Genomic DNA, 15,562 nt, shown 5'->3' with positions numbered 1-15,562 from the left:
CTCCTGCCTCAGCCTCCCGAGTAGCTGCGACTACAGGCACCCGCCACCACGCCTGGCTAATTTTTGTATTTTTAGTAGAGACAGGGTTTCACCGTGTTAGCCAGGATGGTCTCCATCTCCTGACCTCGTGATCCGCCCGCCTCGGACTTCCGAAGTGCTGGGATTAGAGGTGTGAGCCACCGTGCCCAGCTGCCACACCCTGCTAATTTTTAATTATATGTTTTCCAATATGTAAGCTGTCTCTGGGATTACAGGTGTGAGCCACTGTGCCTGGCCTGGAAGACCATATATTAAAAAAAATAAAAATTAGGCCATGCATAGTGGCTCCTGCCTGTAACTCCAGCACTCTGGGAGGCTGAGGAGAAAGCATAGTTTGAGACCAGGAGTTTGAGACCAGCTGGGGCAACAAAGTAAGTCCCCATTGCTACCAAAAAAAAAAAAAAAATTAGCCAGGTGTGGTGGCGAGCACCTGTAGTCTCAGCTACCCGAGAGGCTGAGGTGGGAGGATCACTTAAGCCCAGCAGTTCGAGGCTGCAGTGAGTTATGATCATGCCACTGCACTCCAGCCTGAGCAACAAAGAGAGACCCTGTCTCTAAAAAAAACCAAAATAAATAAATAAAATAAAATATAAACAAAACAGGATAAGAGCTGGGGTCATCAGGTGTGACCTGGGAGACCCATCTCACCTCAGCACGATCATCTGGCTCTCAGCCCCCACAGCCACATCTGCCAAGCCATCCCCTTCAAGGTCCTTCACCCCATGGATGGAGCGTCCAAACCACTGAATTCCTGAGAGCACTTGGGTCCCTTCTATCCGCTGAGAGCAAGAAAGAAATTGCCACTAAGCTGAGGAGAGGTAGGTTGGAGGGAGGGAAGGATCGGGCTGGGGAGTGGGGTCTGGGCTTGGGGGCTTAGGGCACCTGAGAATGGAGTGTGATTGGCAGGCAGCATACGTCACCTGACTTGGCTGGGGACTAAGCCCCCCGTGCCTCCCATTGAAGATGTACACAGCCCCCTGCTCCTCCAGAGGGGCCCCCACAGCCACGTCTACCAGCCCATCGCCGTTGATGTCTGTCAGAGCAGTGATGGCTTCTCCAAACCGCCCGAGTGGGTAGCCGGGGTCCCCCTGCAGCTCTGAGACTTCTTCAAACCCCAACTAGGAAGTAGCAAGAGACAGGTCACACCCAAGTCACTCAGCATGCTGTCACAGAACAACTGAGTGAAGAATGCTAAAGAAACGTAAGATGGGGTCCCTCACAGAATTGGAATGGTGCTGTTAGACTAACCAGGGTTCAAGCACCAGCCCAGACTCTTACTGTCCTCTTACTGTGACCTTGTGGTTTCCCCTACTGAGCTTGGGGTTTCCATTTATATATATATACATTTTTTTGATAATTTTTTTTTGAGATGGAGTCTTGCTCTGTCGCACAGGCTGGAGTGCAGTGGTGCAATCGCAGCTCACTACAGCCTCGAACTCCTGGGCTCAAGCGATCCTCCCACCTCAGCCTCCCAAGTAGCTGGGACTACAGGTATGTACCACCACATCTGGCTAACTTTAAAATTTTAATTTATTTATTTTTATTTTTGTAGAAACAGGGTCTTGTCATGTTGCCCAGGCTGGTCTTGAACTCCTGGCTTCAAGCAATCATCTTGCCTCAGCCTCTCAAAGTGCTGGGATTACAGGCATGAGCCACCGCACCCCAGGGATTCCCATTTATAAAATAAAGCTTGTAGTATCTCAGCAGGTGGTCATGAGGAAAGGGAGGTCATATCTATAAAAAGTTTGGCGCTGCCTACCAGGTGCAGCGGCTCACGCCTGTAATCCCAGCATTTTGGGAGGCCGAGGCGGGTGGATCACCTGAGGTCAGGATTAGAGACCAGCCTGGCCCACATGTCGAAACATGGTCTCTACTAAGAATACAAAAATTAGCTGGGTGTGGCGGCAGGCACCTGTAATCCGAACACTTTGGGAGGCCGAGGTGGGTGGATCACCTGAGGTCAGGAGTTCGAGACCAGCCTGACCAACATGGTGAAACCCCATGTCTACTAAAAATACAAAAATTAGCTGGGCATGGTGGCACATGCCTGTAATCCCAGCTACTCGGGAGGCTGAGGCAGGAGAATCCCTTGAACCTGGGAGGTGGAGGTTGCAGTGAGCCGAGATCGTGCCACTGCACTCTAGCCTGGGCCATAAGAGCGAGACTCTGTCTCAAAAGAAAAAAGAAATATTGGCACTGGACCCTGCATACAGTCTTTCCCCAGTGAGGATTTGCTATTGCCTCTCTGTCGTTCTAAAAGTTTGATCGCCACGTGACCAGACAGAGAAAGCCTTCAGAATAACTGGGAGCTGCGAATCTCTGCTGCTCTCCCTCCTCCCTCTCAGCTCCAGATCCTGGCCCCACCTGTCTTCTCTGGTAGATAAACACCCGGCCTCCTCTCTGCTCCCCATAGAACAGTGGGGCACCAATCAGCAGCAGCTCTGTCTCCCCATCTTGGTCCACGTCGACGCCACACAGCTCCCCACCGAAATAAGAGCCAATCTGTGGGGAGAGGCAGGTGTTTGGGGAAGCGCCTGTGGGAACAGCAGGGGTTGGCAGGGAGATACCTGTACCGTGTTCATCTTGTGCCACTCCCTCAAATGCAGGTTCCAATCTTGGATCCACCCCTAGTCTATGTGCGTTAAGACAAGGTGGGCTCTTTGAGGTTCAGTTTCTTAAACTAGAGAGGGAGATGACAGGGCTTACCTCTGTGTGTTATGAGGGATAAATGTGATCATGTTTAGCACAGGGGCTGCCACATGGTAAGTGGATGAGCATTCAAAGGACAGAAGGGAGTGTGATGTGTGTCCCGCCAGTCCCTGGTCTGCAGATGCCCTCGGACTGGGCGCACCTGGGTCCCATGGATTGTCTGGACCTGGCTCCAGTGTCCTCCGCCCTGTGGCTCTTGGAACAGCAGCACTCGGCCCATGTGCTGGTATCGAGGGGCTCCCGAGGCCAGCAACGAAGTCTTTTGCCGGGAGGGCAGCCAGGTCACGGTGTAACCTGAGGAAAGTGTGTGGGGTGTGGAGTTAGGAACACAGGATGCTGGAAGAACACCCAGCAGGAGAGGGGCAGGGGCCCCAGGGAATTGGGTTAGTAGCAGAGATGCATGGAAACAGCTGAAGACCTTCTCCTGAGAAAAGCATCCATGTGCTCCCAGCCAAACAAATCCTGCCATCTTGGGGATGGCATGTCTTCAACTGTGGGTGACATGCACACCCAGGGAAAAGCAGCTATGCACAACAAGTGGAGCGTGGAGCCTCTTCTGAGCCTCAGTTTACCTGAGGATTAGTAAGGAAGACTCCATTCTTTCTTCTTTTTTAGAGACAGAGTCTCGCTCTCTTGCCCAGGCTGGAATGCAATGGCGTGATCTCAGCTCACTGCAACCTCCGCCTCCCGGGTTCAAGCAATTCTCCTGCCTCAACCTCCCAAATAGCTGGGATTACAGGCGCCCAGCCACCACACCCAGATAATTTTTTGTATTTTTAGTAGAAACAGGGTTTTGCCATGTTGGCCAGGATGGTCTCAAACTCCTGGCCTCAGGTGATCCACCCACCTCAGCCTCCCAAAGTGCTGGGGTTACAGGCATAAGCCACTGTGCCCGGCCTCTTTTTTCTTAAATAATAAATTAAAATGGGAGTCCAGGTGCGGTGGCTCACGCCTGTAATCCCAGCGCTTTGGGAGGCCGAGGCAGGTGGATCACAAGGTCAGGAGATCGAGACCATCGTGGCTAACACGGTGAAACGCCGTCTCTACTAAAAATACAAAAAATTAGCTGGACGTGGTGGTAGGCGCCTGTAGTCCCAGCTACTTGGGAGGCTGAGACAGGAGAATGTGAACCTGGGAGGGGGAGCTTGAAGCGAGCTGAGATTTCGCTACTACACTCCAGCCCGGGCGACAGAGCGAGACTCCGTCTCAAAATAAATAAATAAATAAAATAAAATAAAATAAAATAAAATAAAATAAAATGGTATATATTAGTCAGAAGAATGCAAAGTTGGCATGGATATTAAAAATAAAGCATGTCTGGGCCAAGTGCAGTGGCTCACACCTGTAATCCTAACATTTTGGGAAGCCGAGGTAGGAGGATCACTTAGGCCAGAAGTTTGAGACCAGCCTGGGAAACATAGTGAGACCCCGTCTCTACAAAAAATTACAAAAACTAGCCAGGTGTGGTGATGCACACCTGTGATCCCAGGTACTAGAGAGGCTGAGAGGCAAAAGGATTGCTTGAACCCAGGAGTTCAAGGCTGCCTTGAACTACGATGGTGCCATTACACTCTAGCCTGGGTGACAGAGTGAGACCCTGTCTCTAACAAAATAAAATAAAGCAGGAAACTTGAAAAATTTTCATGCTTAAAGATATCATGTTGCCGGGCGCGGTGGCTCACGCCTGTAATCCCAGCAGTTTGGGAGACCGAGGCAGGCGGATCACGAGGTCAGGAGATCGAGACCACGGTGAAACCCCGTCTCTACTAAAAATACAAAAAATTAGCTGGGCATGGTGGCGGGCACCTGTAGTCCCAGCTACTCGAGAGGCTGAGGCAGGAGAATGGCGTGAACCCAGGAGGCGGAGCTTGCAGTGAGCTGAGATAGCGCCTCTGCACTCCAGCCTGGGTGACAGAGCAAGACTCCGTCTCAAAAAAAAAAAAGATACCATGTTGGCCGGGAGCGGTGGCACACGCCTGTAATCCCAGCACTCTGGGAGCCCAAGGCGGGTGGATCACCTGAGGTCAGGAGTTTGAGACCAGCCTGGTCAACATGGTGAAACCCCATCACTACTAAAAATACAAAAAATTAGCTGGGCGTGGTGGCGGGCACCTGTAGTCCCGGCTACTCAGGAGGCTGAGGCAAGAGAATCAGTTGAACCTGGGAGGTGGAGGTTGCAGTGAGCTAAGATCGCGCCACTTCACTCCAGCCTGGGCGACAGAGAGACTCAGTCTCAAAAAAAAAAAAAAAGAAAAAAAAGATATCATGTCAGTGTCAGGCTGTCTTCATCTTCAACTTCCTGTAATGAGGTTCTTTCCTCTAAGATACCAGGACAACCTCTATTGAATGTTCGAGGAAACACTGCAGGAAATTGGACCCAAGATTGGGCTAGAGCCAAGAGCCACCAGCAAGAATCCTCTGAGATGAGTCACTGACCCCATCTGATGGTCTCTGTGCAGAGCAGTTGAAAGTGAGTGAAGAAAACAGAGCTGTCCAAGGCCCTACAGCACATGGAAGGAAGAGTGAAGAGACGGAACCGCTTCCCTATTGTCGTATGGAGTCTGGAAGCACAAGGGTTAAGAACTCCAAATTCTTGAACTCCATGAGACAAGGTTTAAATCCTAGTGCTACTGCTTCCTAGCTGTGTAGTAGTTAAGTAAATTGCTTCATGCCTCTGTGCCTCAGTTTTCTCATCTACAAAAAGGGAAGAGGCTGGACATTGTGGCTCACGGCTATAACCTCAGCACTTTGGGAGGCTGAGGAAGGGGGATTGCTCAAAGCCAGGAGGTCAAGGCAGCAGTGAGCCAAGATGGTGCCACTGCACTCCAGCCTAGGTGACAAAGTGAGACCCTATGTCTAAAGAAAAAAAAAAGGAACAGTACCAATCTCATGGGGTGTGTTTTGAGAGTTAAATAAGACATGTATATAAAATGCTTAGTGCTACACTAGTGATAGCTAAACTGAGATCTGAAGGATAAGTAGCATAGTAGACACTCAGGATTCTGTTTATTTATCTATCCACATATATGTATATATTTATGTGTGTGTATAGTGGGGTGGGTGTCTAACTAGAGATTAAACTTTTTTTCTTTTTTCTTTTTTTTTGAGACAGAGTTTTGCTCTGTCACCCAGGCTGGACTGCAGTGGTACGATCTCGGCTCACTGCAACCTGTACCTCCAGAGTTCAAGAGATTCTCCTACCTCAGCCTCCCGAGTAGCTGGGATTACAGGTGCATGCCACCATGCCTGGCTAATTTTTTGCATTTTTATAGAGACGGACTTTCACCATGTTGGCCAAGCTGGTCTCGAACTCCTGACCTCAAATGATCTGCCAGCCTCAGCTTCCCAAAGTGCTGGGATTACAGTGTGAGCCACCACACCCAGCTAGAGATTAAATTTTAGAGTCATTTCTTCTTTTTTTTTTTTCACTGCAACCTTAACCTCCCAGGCTCAAGTGATCCTCCCATCTCAGCCTCCCAAGTAGCTGGGACCACAGGCATGCACAACCATGCCCAACTAATTTTTTTTTTTTTTTTGAGACAAAGTCTCTCTCTGTCACCCAGGCTGGAGTGCAGTAGTGCAATCTCGGCTCACTGTAACTTCCGCCTCCCAGGTTCAAGTGATTCTCCTGCCTCAGCCTCCCAAGTAGCTGGGACTACAGGTGCGTGTCACCACGTCCAGCTAATTTTTTTGTGTTTTTAGTAGAGACGGGGTTTCACCATGTTGGCCAGGCTGGTCTTGAACTCTTGACCTCAGGTGCTCTTGGACAATTCAAGAGGAGGAAGCCTTAAAAAGGAGTGGCCAGTCCTCTTACTAATAAGGCAGGTTGTTTTAAAATGTGCCTGGGATTTAATATATAGGTGTGACTGATGATACAGAGAGTCACTGTCATTGAAAGAAGTTTACTAGCCACAGTTCCAAGAGGGAGTAGGCACTGGATGCCATGCAGGGCCAGAGAGGGAAACACTACATTAGTGAAGAGGCAGGAGGAGCCAGGGAAGAGCATGGCCCAGAGCTCTTCTTGTGGTTTCCACAAGGAAGGGTGGCGAGCTAGGTTGGCAAGTTCAAGCAAGTTTAGGATTGCACAGTTTGAATAATTTTGGCTGGCTCTGGGCTATAGCGGTGGCCTCTGGTTGACTGATGCCTGGCTCTGAGCTGATTTAGGGCAGAGGAACTATCGGCTTATTGTGTAAGGATTAGACAAAGGAGGTGGCTGAGGATATGGGCTCGGAATTGGCTGGTTTGCATATAAAAGGCCTTTTTTTTTTTTTTTTTTTTAAGACGGAGTCTCGCTCTGTCATCTTGGCTGGAGTGCAGTGGCATGATCCTCAGTTCACTGCAACCTCCGCCTCCTGGGTTCAAGCGATTCTCCTGCCTCAGCCCCCTGAGTAGCTGGAATTAAAGGCACCCGCCATCATGCCCGACTAATTTTTGTATTTTTAGTAGAGATGGGGTTTTGCCATGTTGGCCAGGCTGGTCTCGAACTCCTGACCTCAGGTGATTCACCTGCCTCAGCCTCCCAAAGTGCTGGGATTACAGGTGTCAGCCACTGTGCTCGGCCCTGTTTGTTGAGACAGAGTCTTGCTCTTTTGCCCAGACTGGTGCGCAGCTGCGTGATCTCCACTCACTGCAACCTCCTCCTCTCAGGTTCAAACGTTTCTCCTGCCTCAGCCTCCAGAAGAGCTGGGACTACAGGCATGCGCCACCATGCCTGGCTAACTTTTGTATTTTTAGTAGAGACAGGGTTTCACCATGTTGGCCATGCTGGTCTTGAACTCTTGACTTCAGGTGATCCACCTGCCTCAGCCTCCCAAACTGCTGGGATTACAGGCATGAGCCACTAGGACCAGCTACAAGGCATATTCACAGGCAAGTTGTTTACTATCTCTAGGAATTTGCCTACCCTGGGAGAGGTAGTCTTTTCAGGATTAGCACGGCCCCAAGATGTCAAAGCATCAGAAAATACAGACAATAAATTATGAATGTTATAGCCATATTTAAACTCTGACTTTGTTCATGCTGGTTGCTTAACTGCTTTCATTATTGTTTTGGAAGCCAGGCTGAGCGACCATCTGACCTCAACAACCAGAAGATCCCAGCAGAAAAGAGAAGTACTCACCCAAATAGCCTGCTCTCACTTCTGGTGTCAATGGTTCATTCCCAATAAATGTGTCATCCTGCAGGTCTGCCTTCAGGTCAAGAAAGCCCCCAGCCCAGTCCTTGGCTCCTACTGCCCCCACGACTGCATGGCCCTGCCCAGGGAAGGAGATGAGCGGGTCAGCTACCCACCGACCCACCCCCCAGAGCCAACTGCACTCCCTGCAGCCCATTGCTCCAGCCCAGCACGCACCCTGCTGAGGTCAGCACTGATGCCGCTGGAGGACAGCTCCATGTTGAAGGAAGTCAGGTCCTGTTTGCTTGTGCCTGGGGAACAAAGCAGAGAACAGGTGAGACCCAACAGCAGTAAATGCAGTGAAAAAAATTCATGGCAGGACGGGGAAGAAGTGAGGTATTTACTTCTGGGTAAGGTAGAAGGCATGCATGTGAGGGTCAGGCAGACCCAGGAAGTGGCTTAATGCGGAGTTGGCTTTTACCCTGGGAGTCCCAGATTTGTTTGTTTTTTGTTGTTGAAACAAGGTCTTGCTCTGTTGCCCAGGTTGGAGTGCAGTGGCGCAATCACAGCTCACTGCAGCCTCAACCACCCAAGCTCAAGCAACCCTCCGGGCTTAGCCTCCTGGATAGTGGGGACTATAGGCACACACCATCACACCTGGCTAATTTTTTTTTTTTTTTTTTTTTTTTTGAGATGGAGTCTCTCTCTGTCACCGAGGCTGGAGTGCGGTAGTGCAATCTCAGCTCACCACAGCCTCTGCCTCCTGGGTTCAAGCGATTCTCCTGCCTCAGCCTCCCGAGTAGCTGGGATTATAGGTGCACCACCATGCCCAGCTAATTTTTGTATTTTTAGTAGAGATGGGGTTTCACCATGTTGGCCAGCCTGGTCTCGAACTCAGGTGATCCACCCGCCTCGGCCTCCCAATGTGTTGGGACAATGACAGGTGTGAGCCACTGTGCCCAGCCTCCAGATTTGAATATCCAATTACTCATCTCCATGTGTCCAAGACTCAGCTCTTGGTTTCTGCTCTGACTCAGGCTTCTCACTTCAATGAATGGCACCCCCACTCACCTAATGAACCATGCTAAGAAACCAAATCCACCTGGAGTCTTCTCTATACTCCATCTCATCTCCAACACATCACCAAATCATGATACTCCTGCCTTTGAAATACACCCTTTTTCTTTTTTTTTTTTTTGAGACAGGGTCTTGCTGTGTTGCCCAGGCTGGAGTGCAGTGGTGTGATCATAGCTCACTACAGTCTCAAACTCCTAGGCTGAAGAGATCCTCCTGCCTCAGCATCCCAAGTAGCTGGGACTACTGGTATGCACCACCGTGCCTGGCTTATATAGCTTCTCCTTAAGAACTCTTCACTGGCTGTGCGTGGTGGCTCATGCCTGTAATCCCAGCACTTTGGGAGGCCAAGGCAAGCAGATTACCTGAGGTCAGGAGTTTGAGACCAGCCTGACCAGCATGGTGAAACCCTATCTCTACTAAAAGTACAAAAATTAGCTAGGCATGGTGGGACATGCCTGTAATCCCAGCTACTTGGGAGGCTGAGGCAGGAGAATTGCTCGAGGCTGGGAGGCTCAAAAACAACTGGAGGTTGCAGTGAGCCAAGATCGCACCACTGCTCTCCAGCCTGGCTGACACAGTGAAACTCTGTCTTGAAAAAAAAAAAAGCCAGGCACAGTGGCTCACACCTGTAATCCTAGCACTTTGGGAGGCCAAGGCGGGCAGATTACCTGAGGTTAGGAGTTCAAGACCAGCCTGGCCAATATGGTGAAACCCCGTCTCTACTAAAAATACAAAAAATTTATCTGGGTGTGGTGGCAGGCGCCTGTACTACTAGCTACTTGGGAGGCTGAGGCAGGAGAATCGCTTGAACCGAGGAGGCTGAGGTTGCAGTGAGCCAAGATCACACCACTGCACTCCAGCCTGGTGACAGAGCAAGACTGTCTCAAAAAACAAAACAAAACAAAACAAAAAACCTCTTCATGGGCTGGGCACAGTGGCTCACGCCTGTAATCCCAACACTTTGTGAGGCTGAGGCAGAAGACTTGCTTGAGCCCAGGAGTTAAAGATCAGGCTGGGCAATATAGTAGAAACTCTGTCTCGGCCGGGCGTAGTGGCTCATGCCTGTAATCCCAGCACTATGTGAGGCTGAAGCAGGAAGATTGCTTGAGCCCAGGAGTTCAAGACCTGCTTAGGCAATATAGTAGAAACTCTTTTTTTTTTTTTTTTTTTTTTGAGACGGAGTCTCACTCTGTCGCCCAGGCTGGAGGGCGGTGGCACAATCTTGGCTCACTGTGAACTCCACCTCCAGGATTCACGCCATTCTCCTGCCTCAGCCTCCCGAGTAGCTGGGACTACAGGCGCCCGCCACCACGCCTGGCTAAGAAACTCTTGTCTCTACAAAAAATTTAAAAATTAGCCAGGTGTGGTGGTGTGTATCTGTAGTCCCAGCTACTCAGGAGGTCAAGGTGGGAGGACTGCTTGAGCCCAGGAGTTTGAGGCTGCAGTGAGCCGTGATCGCACTACTGCACTCCAGTCTGGGCAACAGAGTGAGTCCCTGTCTCAAAACAACAACAACAAAAAACTCCTTCATGATTTCTCATCGATCTTCACACTGAAATCCAAACTCTTTCTGAGGGCCTGGAAGACCCTTACCTCCCTGCCAACCTTCTCTCTCCCTTCCTCACTGCGCTTCGGTCACACTGAACTTTTTCCATTTTCCTGGCATGCCGAGCCCTTTCCCCGCCCCTGGGCTTGCACCTGTGCTTCTCTCTGCCCTCATTCCACCTTTCTCACATTGCTGTTTGAATCTCATCTTTCATATCTCAGCTTAAAAGCCAGTTGAGAGTGAGTTTTTTTTAAAAACTTTTTTTTAAAAAATCACTTTTCATTTTTATTAATTATTTAGACATGGCTTCTTGCTATGCTGCCCAGGCTGGACCATTGCTGCTGATTTTTTTTTTTTTTTTGAGACAGTTTTGCTCTTGTCACCCAGGCTGGAGTACAGTGTCACAATCTCAGCTCACTGCAACCTCTGCCTCCTGGGTTCAAGCGATTCTCCTACTTTAGCCTCCCAAGTAGCTGGGTGACCTCAAGTGATCCGCCTGCCTCAGCCTCCCAGAGTGTTGGGATGACAAGCGTGAGCCACCACGCTCAGCCCATTGCTTCTTTAACTGAACCGAACACCAAGGCTGTGTCCTAGCAAAGGAGACTTTCCTGTAGGAATCACATATCTTTCAGTCAAGTAAGCTTCCTGGGGAAATGCCCTCCATAACCAGTCCTCCATCTGGTGACCACAATATAAATCTTCTCTTATTCTAGGCCAGGAAAGAAGACTTGTGGGTTCTTCACACTGGCCCCTGCCAGCCTGCCCTTCTGAAGTAATGTGGAGCCTTGGATAAGTGACAGCAAGACAGTTGAGCAAGAAGGGGGAGGAATTACATTCACTCTGCGGGGCTCAGATCACACCAGCAAGACATAGGTCAGTCCTAGATCAACCTGAGCTCCAAGAGAAGATGGAATTTCAGAAAGAAATATCAGAGAGGGCCGGGTGCAGTGGCTCACGCCTGTAATCCTAGCACTTTAGGAGGCCGAGGTGGGCAGATTGCTTGGGGCCAGGAATTCGAGACCAGCCCAGGCAACATAGCGAGATCCCTGCCTCTACAAAAAATACAAAAAATACAAAAAAAAAAAAAAAAATTAGCCAGGTGTGGTATCACACACCTGTAGTCCCAGCTACGTGGGAGGATCACCTGAGCCTGGAAGGTCAAGGCTGCAGTGAGCTGTGATCATGCCACTGTACCCCAGCCTGGGTGACAGAGTGAGACCCTGTGAAAGAAAAGCAAAAAAGAAAAGAGGCTGGGCGCAGTGGCTCACGCCTGTAATCCCAGCACTTTGGGAGGCCAAGGCGGGCAGGTCACGAGGTCAGATCGAGATCATCCTGGCTAACACGATGAAACCCTGTCTCTACTAAAAATACAAAAATTAGCCAGGCGTGGTGGCTGGCGCCTGTAGTCCCAGCTGCTCGGGAGGCTGAGGCAGGAGAATGGCGTGAGCCTGGGAAGTGGAGCTTGCAGTGAGCAGAGACTGCGCCACTGCACTCCAGCCTGGGCAACAGAGCAAGACTCTGTCTCAAAAAAAAAAAGAAAAGAGAGAAGAGAAAAGAAGAGAAGAGGAGGGGAGAGGAAGGGGGGAGGAGAGGGGAGGAGAGGGGAGGGGAGGAGAGGGAAAGGGAAGGAAGGGAGGAAGGAAGGAAGGAGAGAAAGAAGGAAGAGAAAGAAAGATCACAGAGGCTGCTCTCAAATGGCCCTCTCCTAAATTCCTTCTAAAGGTCTGTTTTATTTAGGCAAGCCCTTGGCACAAGATCAGATATTCAGTAAGTGCTTATTATTCTTTGTGTTTCTAATAGGATGTCCCAGGGGAGGTTTTTTTTTGTTTTTTTGTTTTGTTTTGTTTTGTTTGAGACTGAGTCTTGCTGTGTTGCCCAGGCTGGAGTGCAATGGCACATCTCAGCTCACTACAACCTCCGCCTCCTGGGTTCAAGCGATTCTCCTGCCTCAGCCCCCTGAGTAGCTGGGATTACAGGCATGCACCACCAAGCCCAGCTAATTTTTGTATTTTTAGTAGAGACGGGGTTTCGCCATGTTGGCCAGGCTGGTCTCGAACTCCTGACCTCAGGTGATCTGCCCACCTCAGCCTCCCAAAGTGCTGGGATTACAGGTGTGAGCCACCGCGTCCGGCCATTTTTGTTTTTTGTTTTTTATTTTTTGAAATGGAGTCTTCCTCTGCCACCCAGGCTGGAGTGCAGTGTGGTGCGATCTTGGCTCACTGCAACCTCTGCCTCCTGAGTTCAAGCGATTCTTGCGCCTCAGCCTCCTGAGTAGTGGGATTACAGGCACCCACCACCACACCTGGCTATTTTTTGTATTTTTAGTATAGATGGGGTTTTGCCATGTTGCCCAGGCTGGTCTCAAACTCCTGAGCTCAATTGATCCACCTGCCTCGGCCTCCCAAAGTGCTGGGATTACAGGTGTGAGCCACCAAGCCCGGCCTGATGTCCCAGGGGAATTTCTTTATGCAGACTCCCGAGCCCTCTCCCAGGGCCTGCCACTCACCCTCAATGACATAGATCTTCTTCTGCAGCTCAGTGAATAGATCTTTCAGCTTCTCAAATGTGTCCAGAATTTTCACAAACTCGCTCGCGGGTTTTGATGCAAATTTGTGGAGGGTCTCCTGACTCTCCTTGGTCTGAAAATGCTTTCCAATCTGTGAGGGAGTGGAGAGTGAAGAGCTGAAATCCCCCAAACCTCAGTCCAGTTTGCTATTATTTTCACAAGAGTCTGGCCCCAGGGAGAAAGGGGCTTGGGGTTCAGAAAGAGGAGAGGGAAGATATGATGCAGGAAGCAGCAGGGGCCCTACCCCGATGATGTAGCGGATGATGTCTTTGGCCGCATCGATGTTGCCACTGTCAGTGGCCTCCCCATCCGTGATGATGATAAGCACTTTGGTGGCATCTGGCCGGGCCCCCAGCTCCTCCCGGAACACCTCTGTCCTGTGTCCAGGAAAGGAGGAGATGAGAGACTCCCCCAAACTAGGGCCTGAGGTCTCTTTCCCCACCTGCTCATCAAGTCACCTCCATGCTGGTTACGCAAAAGCCCTTCCTGGATCTCCCAGGCCGGGATTCCAAGCCTGCAGCAGTCACCTCTAAACCTCTTTGCTGCCACCCCTTTCCTTCTGGACCAGTGGTCCTCACACTGCATCCTGGGCAGTCCAGAGGGTGTCCCAGAGCCCATGGACAGGAGGAGGAGGTTTTGTGAGGAATGACTCTGGGCTTCCTACCCTCCATTGCAACCACATGGCCACCACTCTTTAATCAGCTACAGATATTGATCCAAGTGAGATTTCAATGTGGAAGAGAGGGTCCTACAGCTGAAGAAAACTGGGGAGTCACTCTTCCAGAGCAAGCTCTTCCAGCACCTCCTCTGCCTTCCCATAGTCCACAGGCTGCCTCCGGATCTCTACCATAGCAGTGAACCTAGTGAATTACCGTGACTCATTTCTCTGTCAATTTTCCCCCTAAACCATGAGTTCCTCAAGGAAAGGACCATGTTGGATTTGTTGCTGTATCTCTGGCTCCCAGCACAAAGGAGGCGGTTGTGCATGTGAGATGAAGGAGGGAGAACTAGTGTTACAGCTCTTTTAGAATTTGTCTAGCAGGCTTTCTGTTTTTTGCTAAAATCCTCCACCCTCAAAAAAATTAAAAAAATAAAATAAAGAAGGGAGAACTGAACACCAGATGGGCCAAGGCTAAAAATTTCTGCCCTGGGAGTTCCAGACCATTCTGGGCAACATAGCGAGACTCCAACTCTACAAAGATGAAAACAATTAGCCAGGCATGGTGGTGTGTGATTGTAGTCCCAACTACTCAGGAGGCTGAGACAGGAGGATCGCTTGAGCCCAGGAGTTTGAGGCTGCAGTGAGCTAGGATCACGTCACTGCGCTCCAGCCTGGGCAACAGAGTGAGACCTTGACTCTAAAAAAAAAAGAAAAAGAAAATTCCTGTTTTGCCCACAGCCTTCCTCTGAGCAAGTTGGGTTGGCCATAGCTCTTGCTGGAACAGCAGCAAGGTGTGAACCGTCTTACCCATGAACACCTGCTGTCAAGACCTCTGGTTCTATCTTGGATGCAAAATGCTTCTCCAATCTCCATCCACACAGACATGGGCCTATTGCGGGTCCTGTTCATGGATTTCCACCCTGGTTTATACAACCATTGTCTCTCATCTGGATTTTTCAGTAGCCTTCTAACTGGCCCTATCACTTCCACCCGCCCTTGCCCCCTCTACAGTCTAATATCAACCCTGCAGCCAGAGGGATCTTTTAAAAAACATAGATCATCACTCCTCTACTCAAAACCTCTAATGACTTCTCATCTTACTCAGAGGAAAGCCAAAGTCCTCACTATGGTCTCCAAGTCACTAACCCATCCAGACCCTCATGATCTCTCTGACCTCATCACCTACTATTTTCCCCCCTCACTTATTTCTCTCCGGCCACATTGGTGTCCTGGCTCTTCTTTTTTAATTTATTTTTAATTTCTTAGAGTTAAGATCTTGCTCTGTTGTCCAGGCTGGAGTGCAATGGTGTGATCATAGCTCACTGCAGCTTCAAACTCCTGGCTCATAGGCCAGGTGTGGTGACTCACACCTGTAATCCCAGCACTTTGGGAGGGTGAGGCAGGTGGATCACCTGAGGTCAGGAGTTTGAGTCCAGCCTGGCCAACATGGTGAAAGCCTATCTCTACTAAAAATACAAAAAAAATTAGCCAGGCGTGGTGGCACAGGTCTGTAATCCCAGCTACTTGAAAGGCGGAGGCAGGAGAATGGCTTGAACCTGGGAGGTGGAGGTTGCAGTGAGCCGAGATCATGCCATTGCACTACAGCCTGGGCAACAAGAGCGAAACTCCATCTCAAAAAACAAAAACAAAAACCAAAAACCAAACAAACAAACAAAAACTTCTGGGCTCAAAAGATCCTCCTGCCTCAGCTTCCCAAAGCCCTGGGATTACAGACTGTGCACCTGGCTTAGACTTTCTCTTGGATTTAATTAGTACAGAGTAGATTTCTGTTACGTACAACCAAAAGAATCTGCAGTAAAATTGTTCCACTTCAATTCAGACAATAAACTG

At 49.9% G+C, this 15,562-nt stretch overlaps 1 protein-coding gene and 1 pseudogene across 7 annotated transcripts in view; one reads left to right on the top strand and one right to left on the bottom strand.

Annotated features, from left to right (window-relative positions):
• The window catches only part of ITGAL (integrin subunit alpha L), a 50,444-nt gene that overhangs the window by 25,932 nt on the left and 8,950 nt on the right, over positions 1 to 15,562 (bottom strand). For 5 of the 7 annotated variants that reach the window (XR_950794.2, NM_002209.3, XM_005255313.1 and 2 more), the window contains 8 exons: positions 13,295 to 13,427; positions 12,991 to 13,141; positions 8,099 to 8,172; positions 7,868 to 8,000; positions 2,891 to 3,042; positions 2,404 to 2,541; positions 960 to 1,157; positions 688 to 818 (listed from right to left, as the gene is read on the bottom strand). Coding sequence is in view for 6 of the 7 variants with exons in the window: in NM_002209.3 (NP_002200.2) it covers positions 688 to 818; positions 960 to 1,157; positions 2,404 to 2,541; positions 2,891 to 3,042; positions 7,868 to 8,000; positions 8,099 to 8,172; positions 12,991 to 13,141; positions 13,295 to 13,427 (1,110 nt within the window). In the remaining variant the exon portion in view is untranslated. Of the gene's footprint in view, positions 1 to 687; positions 819 to 959; positions 1,158 to 2,403; positions 2,542 to 2,890; positions 3,043 to 7,867; positions 8,001 to 8,098; positions 8,173 to 8,265; positions 8,360 to 12,990; positions 13,142 to 13,294; positions 13,428 to 15,562 lie in introns of those variants that run through there. The other 2 variants (XM_047434073.1, XM_047434072.1) reach the window with 2 other exon arrangements.
• On the top strand, positions 14,060 to 14,116 carry RNU7-61P (RNA, U7 small nuclear 61 pseudogene; annotated as a pseudogene).

The sequence above is a fragment of the Homo sapiens genome, chromosome 16, assembly GCF_000001405.40.
Source record: "Homo sapiens chromosome 16, GRCh38.p14 Primary Assembly".
NCBI lineage: Eukaryota > Metazoa > Chordata > Mammalia > Primates > Hominidae > Homo > Homo sapiens.
The sequence above is the reverse complement of the archived record's forward strand: the minus strand, read 5'-3'. Positions and strand labels throughout refer to the sequence as shown.